Source organism: Homo sapiens, chromosome Y (assembly GCF_000001405.40).
Source record: "Homo sapiens chromosome Y, GRCh38.p14 Primary Assembly".
NCBI lineage: Eukaryota > Metazoa > Chordata > Mammalia > Primates > Hominidae > Homo > Homo sapiens.
This window is the reverse complement of record NC_000024.10, coordinates 18,871,458-18,883,831: the sequence shown is the minus strand read 5'-3', so window position 1 is coordinate 18,883,831 and position 12,374 is coordinate 18,871,458. Positions and strand designations below refer to the sequence as shown.

General features: G+C 39.8%; 1 long non-coding RNA gene and 1 pseudogene across 5 annotated transcripts in view; one reads left to right on the top strand and one right to left on the bottom strand.

Annotated features, from left to right (window-relative positions):
• TTTY14 (testis expressed transcript, Y-linked 14) overlaps positions 1 to 11,331 on the top strand; it is a 205,047-nt gene extending 193,716 nt beyond the window's left edge. For 4 of the 5 annotated variants that reach the window (NR_125735.1, NR_125734.1, NR_158640.1 and 1 more), the window contains 2 exons: positions 6,627 to 6,764; positions 10,998 to 11,331. This is a non-coding gene — a long non-coding RNA (testis expressed transcript, Y-linked 14). The remainder of the gene's footprint in view (positions 1 to 6,626; positions 6,765 to 10,997) is intronic. The other variant, NR_125733.1, reaches the window with a different exon arrangement.
• On the bottom strand, positions 11,560 to 11,730 carry MTCYBP2 (MT-CYB pseudogene 2; annotated as a pseudogene).

Below are 12,374 nucleotides of genomic sequence, written 5' to 3'. Positions count from 1 at the left end.
GCTTAAATAACATAATTTTATTTTTTTCACAATTCTGAACACTAGAAGTCTAAGATTAAGGTGTCTACAGGTTTGGTTTCTTCTGAGAACTCTCTCCATTCTTGTAAATGGCTGTCTTCTCCCTGTGTCCTCACATCATCTTTTCTCTATGTGCAAACCACCTGGTGTCTGTTTATTAGGATACCAGTCATTCAGGATAAGGGCCCCATCCTAATGGCCTCTTTTTAACTTATGGCTTCTTTAAGGGCTTTATCTTCAAGTAAGGTCAAGTTCTGAGGTACTTTGTGTCAGAACTTTAATGTATGGAAACTGCAGGGTAGCAATCCAGCTCATAAGAAACAATCCCAATTTTCTAAATATTTTCCATGAAATAAGAGTAAAGGGAACCCTTTTTGTCTCCTGCTATGTGGCAAGTATGAGCCTAATACCAAAACCAGATAAAGACATTGCACAAAAGAAAAACTACAGGCCAATGTCTCTCATAAACATAAATGCAAAAATTCTTAACATAAGTAATAGAAAATAGAATTCTACATGATAAACAGATAAAGACATTACACAAAAGAAAAACTACAGGCCAATGTCTCTTATAAACATAGATGCAAAAATTATTACCATAAATATTATCAAATAGATTTCTACCATATGTGAAATTATATATACACAATGACAAAGTGAGGTGTATCCTGTCTATGCAAGCCTGGTTCACATTTACAAATCAATTAATGTAAGCAGCAAGTTAAAGAAGAAAAGTCATCAGATCATACAAACTGAGCCAGAAAAAGCATTTGATAAAATTTAACACCAATTCATGGAAAACAAAAACTATGAGCAAGTTAGAAGTAGAGTCCTCAATGCCTTGATTTTATGAAGAATAGCTCCACACATCTTAATGCTAATATCCTGCTTAATCAGGAGAAATTGAATATTTTCTCCCTCAGACCAAGAAAAAGACACAGATGTCTCCTCTCACTATTCATAGTTCAAAGTGTGATGGAGTTTCTAGGTTATGTAACAAGACAAGAAAAGGAAATAAAAATTATATAGACCAGTAAAGAAGATATAAAATTGTCTTTTTCTTTGTAGATAATATGATCATCTATATGGAAAATCCCAAAGAATTAACAATGACAGCAAAAACGCCTGGAATAACTGATTATAGGAAAATCACAGAATACAAAGTTAATGTGAATAGTCAATTGCTTTTCTATTTACCAGTAAGGAGTAATTGAATTTTTTTAAAAAATTAAAAGGTTAATTAACACCATAGACAATTGACTATTGCAAATAACCAGAGAAAAATCTACCCTTATATTAGGGCTTTGTGTATAAAAACAAAATATTATAGACAACCTCAAATCCGTTAGTAGGGAGATGGCTAAACAAGCCATTGTATAGGTATGATCATTTATAAAGAAAGACACACAGAATTATATTACTGATCTCTATGTACTGTGATGCACACCAAACCTTCATTATATACTATATAAGTACCATATAATATTATCAGCGAAACGCATCCAATTGTCCACATGTTGTCTGTAGGTATTTATACATATGCCAAATGATGATAGCTAGCTCTCTAGAGGCGGCAGGAAAATGAGACATTGACATTTTTTTTTTTTTTATACAGAGTCTCACTCTGTCACCCGGGTTGGAGTTCCATGGCACAGTCTCAGCTCACTACATCCTCCACATCCAGGGTTCAGCAATTCTCCTGCCTTAGCATCCCAGTTAGCTGGAAATACAGGTGTGTGTCACCACACCCAGCTAATTTTTTTTATTTTTTGTAGAGAGAGGTTTTCACCATTTTGGCCAGATTGGTCTCCAACCCCTAACCTCAGGTGATCTGCCTGTATTGGCCTCCCAAAGGGCTGGGATTACAGGCATCAGCCACCGTGCCTTGCCACTTTCACATGATTTCTATCAGATGCCTAGCATGATCCCCTTCCTTACAGATGGAGCAACTGAAGCTCAGAGAATTACTGTTAACAGTGTTACCATCTACAGAATCAGAATTAAACTTGGTCTGTGAAGTTCAAAAGTTCATTCTCTTGCACAAGAGCCCCACATTTTATATTCATAGAGCAAACAAAATGTATTCCAATGAGACGTATTACCTAGAAGTAAAACATGACACTCAGCATCACTGGAATGGATTGTTAGAAGATCCACTTCCAGATTATAGGGTCATTTCTGACCTCAGTAAATAACGCATAATAGCAGTGATTTGTAGGTATTGTTATAAAACCTCCTAATAAAAATTCCTATATAAGTAACCAACTCATTTCAACAAGAATTCATTAGTTTGTTTTACCAATGTAAGCAAGTTGAAAATTAAAGTTTCATAACAAAGTGTTTTGGACATCAAAAGTGGTGAGCTTGTGTGAGGAACTGGTGGGTTCTTGGTCTCACCGACTTCAAGAATGAGGCCACGGACCCTCGCGATTGAGTGTTACAGTTCTTAAAGGTGGTATGTCTAGAGTTTGTTCCTTCTGATGTTTGGATGTGTTCGGAGTTTCTTCCTTCTAGTGGGTTCCTGGTCTCGCTGGCTCAGGAATGAAGCTGCAGACCTTCGTGGTGAGTGTTACAGCTCTTAAGGTGGCACATCTGGAGTTGTTCATTCCTCCCGGTGGGTTTGTAGTCTCACTGGCTTCAGGAGTGAAGCTGCAGACCTTCGCAGTGAGTGCTACAGCTCATAAAGGCGATGTGGACCCAAAGAGTGAGCAGCAGCAGGATTTAATGCAAAAAGCAAAAGAACAAAGCTTCCACAGTGTGGAAGAACACCTGAGCAGGTTGCCACTGCTGGCTCCCGCAGCCTGATTTTATTCTTATCTGGCCCCACCCACATCCTGCTGATTGGTCCATTTTACAGAGAGCCAATTGGTCTGTTTTACAGAGAGCTGATTGGTCTATTTTGACAGGGTGCTGATTGGTGCCTTTACAATCCCTGAGATAGACACAAAAGTTCCCCACCTCCCCACTAGATTAGCCAGATACAGAGTGTCAATTGGTGTGTTTACAAACCCTTGAGCTAGACACAGAGTGCTGATTGGTGCATTTACAAACCTTAAGCTAGATACAGAGTGCTGATTGGTGCATTCACAAACCCTGAGCTAGCCACAGGGTTCTGATTGGTGTGTTTACAAACCTTGAGTTAGCTACAGAGGGCTGATTGGTGTATTTATAATCCCTTAGCTAGACATAAAGATTCTCCAAGTCCCCACTAGACTCAGGAGCCCAGCTGGCTTCACCCATTGGATCCTGCACCCATCAGCAGATGGAGCTGCCTGCCAGTCCCTCTGCGGTTCCTAGGCACTCCTCAGCCCTTGGGCAGTCTATGCGACCCGTGGCCCTGGAGCAGGGGGAGGGCTCATCAGGGAGGCTAGGGCCATGCAGGAGCCCACGTTGGGGTGGAAGGAGGCTCAGGCATGGGAGGCTGCAGGTCCCAAGCTCTGCCCTGCCGGGAGGCAGCTTAAGGCCCCACGAGAAATCGAGCACAGCAGCTGCTGGCCCAGGTGCTAAGCCCCTCACTGCCTGGGGCTTGCGGGTGGGCCTGACGCTGCCAGGGCAGGGCCAGCAGAGCCCACGCCCACCCAGAACTCCTGCTGGCCCGCAAGCGCCATGCGGCAGCCCGGGTTCCCGCCCACGCCTCTCCCTCCACACCTCCCAGGAAGCTGAGGGAGCTGGCTCCCGCCATGGCCAGCCTAGAAAGGGGCTCCCACAGGGCAGCGGCGGGCTGAAGGACTCAAGCGCGGCCAAGGAGGCGCGGAGAGCCATCAAGGGCTGCGAGGGCTGCCAGCACACTGTCACCTCTCAAGCTGAGATGAGAGATACAAATTTAGAAATGAGAAAGGAAGACTTCACAATATACAGACTGGGCTCTAAAAAAATGATGATGAACATGTGTAGCAAGGTGAGAAATAAAATAAAAGCAAAAATCAAGGATGTGCTATTTTTACTATGGATCTTCTTATTTCTGTATCTTCTTATTTTTTAGGATATCCCCCCAGATATGCTGAAAAAGTGAAGATATACAGCCATCCTCAATAGAAGCCAGTCATGATCACATACCTAAGTGGGGTTGAATGCACACAGAAATCTATTAATTTCAGACTCTTCCTCTATTTGGGGGCATCTCTACTAGCTAGGATGCTGCCATAGCACTTGAATTTTAATTTTCAATATCAAACCTAAGATTACTTCACTCCTGCTGGATATTACTTTGTCTATTTAAACAATTTTTTGTCTTTGTTTCCTTTCTTCCTCTCTCCCACCTTCCTTCTTTCCTTTCTTTTTCCCACCCTCCCTTCTTCTTTCCTTCTTCTCGCTCTCCCTTGGCGATGTGAATTTTGTTCTGGCATACATTGAATGACTCGTCTGCCACAAAGTTGAATTCTAATACACAATGGTGTTTGGTTTCGCATAGTGTAATCACAATTTTGTGCATTTTAAAATTACCTTAGACAACACTCAGATTTGCAAGAGCAAAGGAAATCATTAACAAATGAACTATCAACGATTGCCAAAATTCTTTCCATATTGGCTGCCTATACTTGGGTCTTCTGCAGCCAGAGTTTGCTCTGTTTCCTCTTTTGGAAGCTAGAAAAATTAAAAATTGTTGTTCTATGTTTAAAAACTATAGAAATGCTGTTCTCCAAAGAGAAAATACTGGAGCAGAACAGGTATATATTCTGTGAACTTTGTTTTCCAAAAAGTCTGGTTGAGTATTTAAGGTCCAGCTACCTACCAAGAAATATGCCAAGGTCTGCGAAGTGTAGAATGCCAAACAATGGCATTTGTTTCATCAATTCAATCCATGTGTTTCATCAATTCATGCATTTTTTTTCCCTTAAATAATAAGTCAATTTTATCCTTTTGATTCAACCAGCACAGCTTAGGGGATGACACATGCATACAGTAGACTGTCAGAGTGGTATACTTTGTATAATAGAAATAAATGAAGATAAAATAGAAAGGAAAAAAAGCAGATGATTTGCTAGGAACTCTGCCTGACCTGTAGTCCCTCAGCACATAACATTGTCTCTGGGGAAGAAAAGTTTATCTTGGGCTGCAAACAGACAATAAATGGTAAGAAGCCTCAAGTTCTGAGACTTGGATAACCACAGTAAGTATCCCTTATGGTAGGGCAGTGCAGAGCTCAGCTTTCTAAGATGGAGATTTCTAACGAAGAGACACATTTCCCTATGTAATGAGAAAGTTGGGCTTAGAGGATTTTTTATTTTGCTTATTTATTGTGTGCATGAAAATTTTTGCTCTCAAGTTCATTTTTGTCAGATATTGACAAAATTCAGACTGCATAAAGTTTAAAAAGGTATCTACAGCAATTTTTTTAAAAGCATAGTTGAAAATCTCTTATCTTCTCCCTACTCCATTTAATTCATCAACCTAGAAGATGTGGTTAAAGCCCTCTTCTTAACAGTTTAGAAGTGTTGTGTTACCATAGACTTTTGTTTGAGTAATGTAAAATAACTCGTGGATAGTCTGACACTTTGCAAGAAAGCATGTAACTCTGTTGTTCAGATATAACACCAGGAGGCCTTGGGATTATCTACCTATCAGTGCTGAGATGGAGAAAGAGTCAAAAGCAACCCTTCTTGCTCCAGGCATGTGCAGGAGGTTTTTTGGTTTCAGCATTTTGTTGCATGCTGACTATGTCCTTTACCTTCTCTTAAATTATGTATCAATTCATGCTGGTTTATTCACTTCCTGATGTCTATATGAAGAGGCTGTCTGCCAACATCTTTCATCACTCTGCCTGCAACTATGAAAAATTTAGTTCTAAAAAATGCAACCTTGCTAAATTGAGTACTAATAGGATTGGTTCAATTATGTTCTATGTCTGTTCCATATTGACATTGTGTGCATCTTTGCCATGCAGGCTTTTTAGGAATTATCGCATCTCTAACTTCCCACGAGTGTTTATGAAAATGTTTAGATTTAAAGAACTTTATTGCTTTAGACAGAATAAGGCATGCAGTTCTAACAGAAAGATCCATGAATTCCAGAAATATCACTGAAAATTATTGACATTTAAGATTATTTTCTGTTTGTTACTATGGTTCACAATTCAAGAATAACTCTGGCCAGGTGCAGTAGCTCACACCCTGTAATCCCAGCACTTTGGGAGGCTGAGGTAGGCAGATCACTTGAGCTCAAGAGTTCAAGACCAGCCTGGGAAACATGGCAAACTCCCACCATTACAAAAAAATACAAAAATTAGTTGGTCATGGTGGTGTTCACCTATAGTCCCAGTGACTTGGGAGGCTGGGATGGGAGGATCTCTTGAGCCCAGGAGATGCAGGCTTGCAGTGAGCCATGATCATGCCACTGTACTGCAGACTGGGTGAAACAGCAAGATCTTGTCTGAAAAGAAAAAAAAAAGTAAAAGAAAAAGAAAAGAAAATAACTCCCATTGCTAAAGACATATATGCTTATCAGGTTAAGATAAAGTGAATTTTGTTCTTCCCAATGACATTTCAGGATATTTGTTCACAGGAAAGAACATGTTGGGAATTGGTACTGGCTAGAAATTTCTGTTGAGTATTTATTACCCCATGGTAATAATGGTAAACCACAGTTTAGAAAGATTTTTTTTTTGACAGCCACAGCATGTTCCGAAGAGATGATTGGAAGATGGAAGTGGAGGGTTAAATAATGAAATGCAGCTAACATTTCGGAAAGTTTCTAAAAGTTGTACAACATGCCCTACAGCTACTCTTTAAATCTCCAAATCAAATGAGGTGAGTTCATGTGAAGTGCATTTTACAGATGAAGACATCAAGGGTCATCAGGGTTAAGTGATATTCTAAAGTCACAGATGAAACTTTGGAGCTAAGTAGAGGACACTGCCACATTCAATTAAAAATTATAAATTGCAATGTTTATTCAAAATTAGTTGAAACTTAGACACATGAAAAGTCCCAAGAAACTCTGGTCCAATTACAATTATTTTTTCTAATAGAAGATCTGGAGAGGCCTCAGAAAAGGACCCATCTTCATCTTGCCTTCAGAAAATGCATTTAACATAGTAGACAGGGAGGAGAATCAAGTTAGAATGAAGAAAGTTGTGGAGGGTTCTCCCAGAAACATCCTGGGTTTCTTGAGTGTACCACTTGGAAAACCAGTGAGAAATTATCATGTAGTTGTAACTTCAGGCTTAATGTTTCTTCTTTTTTAACTCTATGTGGAGGTAAAAGAACATAAGCTATGTGTATATGACTGTAATAAGAAAAGTACAACAAACCAGGAGCTTGAAACAACAGAAATAAATTTTCTCCCAGTCCTGAAGACCAGAAGTCTGAGATCAAGGTGACTCAGAGACATCCATTCTCTGAAGACACTAGGGGAATATCCTTCACCCCTCTCCCTGCTCCTAGTAGCTCCAGGAGTCCCTGCGCTTGTGGACACACCACTCCATTCTCTGTCTCCATCTCACATGGCCTTCTCGTCTGTGTGTGTCTCCTCTGCTGTCTCTTATAAGGACATCAGTCACTGGAGTTAGGGTCTACATTAATTCAGGATAATCTTATTGCAAGATTATTTATATAATTATATCTGCAAACACCCTTATTCTAAATCAAATTTTATTTACAGGTTGCCAGTGTTAGGACACAGGCATACTTTTTGGGAGCTAGCATTCAATCTGCTGCAATGCACAGCAGAATGCAGAATGATAAATGAATAGCTGTGTACTCATGACTAACTTAAGGCCTAGCCTGTCACTTGCCTCTGAGGTCTTTTATATCCAATCTCAGATCTCACATATAAAAGCTAAGATCCTGTTTCCAGCATCTGTCCAGAACCCACCTTGTTAGGTCTTTGAATGATACCACTGGGCATCATGAGTTGTGAATAAGTCCATTGAAATTTCATTATTTTCAGGATTTCCCCTTGTATTAGTCTATTCTCTTGCTGCTGTAAGGACATACTAGGTAATTTTTAAAGAAAAAGAGGTGGCTGGGTGTGGTGGCTCACACCTGTAATCCCAGGACTTTGGGAGGTTGAGGCGGGTGGATCATGAGGTCAGGAGATCGAGACCATCCTGGCTAACATGGTGAAACCCCATCTCTACCAAAAATACAACAAATTAGCTGGGCGCAGTGGTAGGCACCTGTAGTCCTGGCTACTTGGGAGGCTGAGGCAGGAGAATGGTGTGAACCAGGGAGGTGGAGCTTTCAGTGAGCCGAGATCACGCAACTGCCCTCCAGCCTGGGTGACAGAGCTAGACTCTGTCTCAAAAAACAAAAAACAAAAAAATAAATACAAGTTTAATGGACTCACAGTTTCACATGGCTAGGGACACCTTACAATCATGGCAGGAGGCAAAGAAGGACCAAAGGCACGTTTTACATGGTGGCAGGCAAGACAGAAAGAGAGCCAAAAGAAAGGGGAACCCCTTATCAAACCATCAGATATTTTGTGACTTATTCACTACCACAAGAATGGGAAATCTCCCCCATGATTTAGTTATATACTACTGGGTCCCTCCTACAACAGGTAGGGATTATGGCAGCTACAATTCAAAATGAGTTTTGGCTGGGGACATAGTCAAATCGTATCCCCCATTCATTTTGAAACACAATGTTTCACATCTCAATGTATCCTCCCACAAGAACAAAGTATGAAAAAGGAACATTTACTTTAAAAAAATGGAGCTGCAAGGTTGTGGTTTTGGGGAAGTTACAGTTTTGCAAGGAAGCTGCAAGACGGTAAGACTTTCGCAGTAAATTTTACGAAAACGTGAATGTGTCAGTTCAGGTAATCCAGCAAGGGCAATGGGAGATAGAAAAGAAGACATAGGAATTGGCTATGTGATCATGGAGCTGATGAGGCATTCCTGAAATCTATAAGGCAAGAAACGCTAGCTGGAATTCTCAGAAGTGAGTGGAAGCTCCTGTCCATGAGCAGAATCTTCTCCAGCCAGGGAAGCTGCACCTCTATTCTTAATGCCTTTTGCTAACAGAGTCAGACCCACTAAGATCACATAGAATAATCTCCATTACTTTACATCAACAAACAAGGGGCTTCATCACATCTAGCAAATGACTTCATGTCAACCTCTAAATTTATATTTAATTATAAGGCTAGACCCAGTAGCCTAGCCTCATGGGCACATAAAGCTGACCATCACAGTGATGATAAGGAAGATATCTATTCTTTAACTGAAAATCCTATTTGAGTGAAATAGGAGTCAATATCACCAGCACCTCTAGGAAATACAAAGAAGTTAATGTGTGGAGGAAGTTTGAAGTCAAACAGAGGAACAGGAGACAGATTATTTGCACCTATGACAGGGTTATCATTAGCAAATTCCTCTGGAGCATATATGGAAATGCCCAACACATACCCTTCTCTTATGACTTGCAGGAGGCAATGGGATAGGTTCAGTTTAGCAGGAAAGGGTGTCTGCCTCATTTATGTCTCAGAGTGCTGAGGGTGCTTGAACAAAATGCCATAGACTGGGCTTCTTCCAAAAGAGGTTTAGCTGGGCATAGTGGCTTATGCTTATAAATCGCAGCACTTTGGGAGGCTAAGGCAGGATTGCTTGAGGCTAGGCATACAGGACAAGCCTGGGTAACATAGAAAGACCCCATTTCTATAAATTTTTTAAAAATTAGCTGGGCATAGTCACACATACCTGTAGTTCTAGCTACTTGGGAGGCTAAAGTGAGAGGATGGCTTGGGCCCAGAGTTGGAGTTTGCAGTGAGCCAAGGTCATGCATGCCACTGCACTCTAGCCTGGGCAGCAGAGCAAGACCTTATCTCTAAAAAGAAAGGGGTGGGGGAGAGAGAGAGAGTTATTTTTGTTAGTTTTGGTGGATACTATCAAGTCAAAGATCAAGGTTCTGATAGATTTCGTCCCTGGTAGGGGCTGTCTTCCCAGGTTTCAGATAGTCATCTTCTTGTTTTGTCATCACATAGTGGAGAGGGAAAGGGAGAGAGAGCTCTGGTCTCTTCTGCTGTTTATAAGGACACTGGTCCCATCATGGGAACTCTATCTTTATAGTCTCATCTAAATTTAATCACTGACCAAAAGCCCCATCTGTAAATACCATCACCTTGGCAGTTAGCTCTTCACCATGAATTTTTAGGAGACACTAACATTCAGTCAATAGCATTCTGCAATTTTGCATTTCCTTCATCTCTGAGAAACACGGCCCTGTTTTCAAGTGCAGTTCTTAAGTCTCCATGACTGACATCTGACCCTCTCCTCTAGCCTTACCCAGCTGACTAAGAGTGGAACAACTTGGGTGCATCAAATGACTTTTTCCAGTGGTGGAGGGAGGCAGAACTCATTGCTCCAGGAGCTGTGGAGGTGCACATTCTGTCACATTTTCTAGAAAAAGGATGAAAAATAGTAAAGAATCAGGAAGTCATAGGCATGAGGCTGAGAATCATTCTTTGATCTCCTGCCATGTCTTGATTCTAGCACTTTCTGAAATCCAGCAGTTATCTAGATTTTACGTGTTTGTTTGTTTGTTTATTTTTGAGATGGAGTTTCACTCTTGTTGCCCAGACTGCAGTGCAATGGCACAATCACGACTCACCACAACCTTCTCCTCCTGGGTTCAAGTGCTTATCCTGCCTCAGCCTTCTGAGTAGCTGGGATTACAGGCATGCACCACCTCACTCAGCTAATTTTGTTGTTGTTGTTGTTGTTGTATTTTTAGTAGAGACAGGTTTTCTCCGTGACGGTTAGGCTGGTCTCAAACTCCCGACCTCAGGTGATCTGCCCACCTGGGCCTCCTGAAGTGCTGGGATTACAGGCATAATCCTGAGCCACCACATCTGGCCTATCTATACGTTTAAACCAATATCTATGTTTGTTTTGATGAGTTTAAAATACTTGTCTGCTTATGACCAATTATAGGCAGAATTCTTGTTCCTTAGCCAAATTCATATGTGGAAATCTAACTCCAAATGTGTCCTCTGAAATGTATATGTTGAAATACTAAACCTCAATGCAATTGTAGTTTCAGGTGGAGCCTCTGGGAGGTGATGAGGTCATGAGAGTGGAGCCTCATGAATGGGATGAGCACTCCTACAAAAAGGATTCCAGAGAGCTCGCTTGCTCCTTCCACAGTGTGAGGACACAGAGGGAAGGCTCTGTCTATGAATGAGAAAGTGGGTCCCCACCAGACATTGAATCTGCCGCATCTTGATACTGGACTTCCAGTCTCCAGAACTGTGGGCAATAAATGTCTGTTGTTTATTACCTGTCCAGTATCTTTGGTATTTTGCTATAGCAACCCAAATGGACTAAGAAAACACCAGAGGCCATACCTAATAAAAATATTGACATCACAATTTGTTGTATCAGGTGACTGTTTTTCCACTAAAATAGTTACTTTAATTCACGAATAGGTAAGTCAGGTAAATGAATTTTACTGCGCAGTATACTTTTCTTATTATTCTTTAAAAGTTTCAGAAATTGGTCTCTCCAATTAGTTAAGCCAATGCAAAAAAAAATCATAGTTACAGAGCAAATGTCTGTGTGGGTTCTTCTGCTTATTACTGGTAGAGTTTGTCATTGGATGCACCCAGAATTCAGAATAAGCCCTGACTTAATGGTTGGAATATCACTCTTTGTTGTTTAGATGTGTGACGCATGGGCATCACTGCCAGAGTGAGAATAGAGAATACAAAAGCTAATATGCCTCCTAATTTGTTAGGGATGGGTCATAAGATTGTGTAGGCAACTAAGAAGGTACACGGATACATGGAGGTTCTTCATAAACACTTCAACATCAGAGCAAATATTTTTATTTTAGATACAGTAATGACTCTACAAAAAAAAACTGTCAAAAATAAATTCTGCTTCATTTTATATTAATTGCTTGGGAGTACCTAGCAATTTATCATTTAAGAGTGTTAGATCTTTATTCTGTGGAATATATCTATGAGATCCCTCTTAAAGAAAACAGACTGGTTCTGCTTATGTATTTTATGATTGCTTTATATAAATTAGCCCAATGGGACACATCACACATGTTTTATTATATGTATAGCAGCATAGACTTACAGTTAAAATCTGAATATATGATATGTATATAGTGTGTGTTTACACACACTCAGACACACATGCACACACATACATTTTATATGTGTGTGTGTTTTATATGTATTTATATATATTCTATATATATTTTATATATATTTTATATATTTTATATAAATATATTTTTATATAATTATATATTTTATATAATTATATATTTATATATTATATATTTTATATAATTATATATTTATATATTATATATTTTATATAATTATAATTATATATTTTATATAATTATATTATATATTTATTTATTATATACAATATTATATATAATTATAATTATATA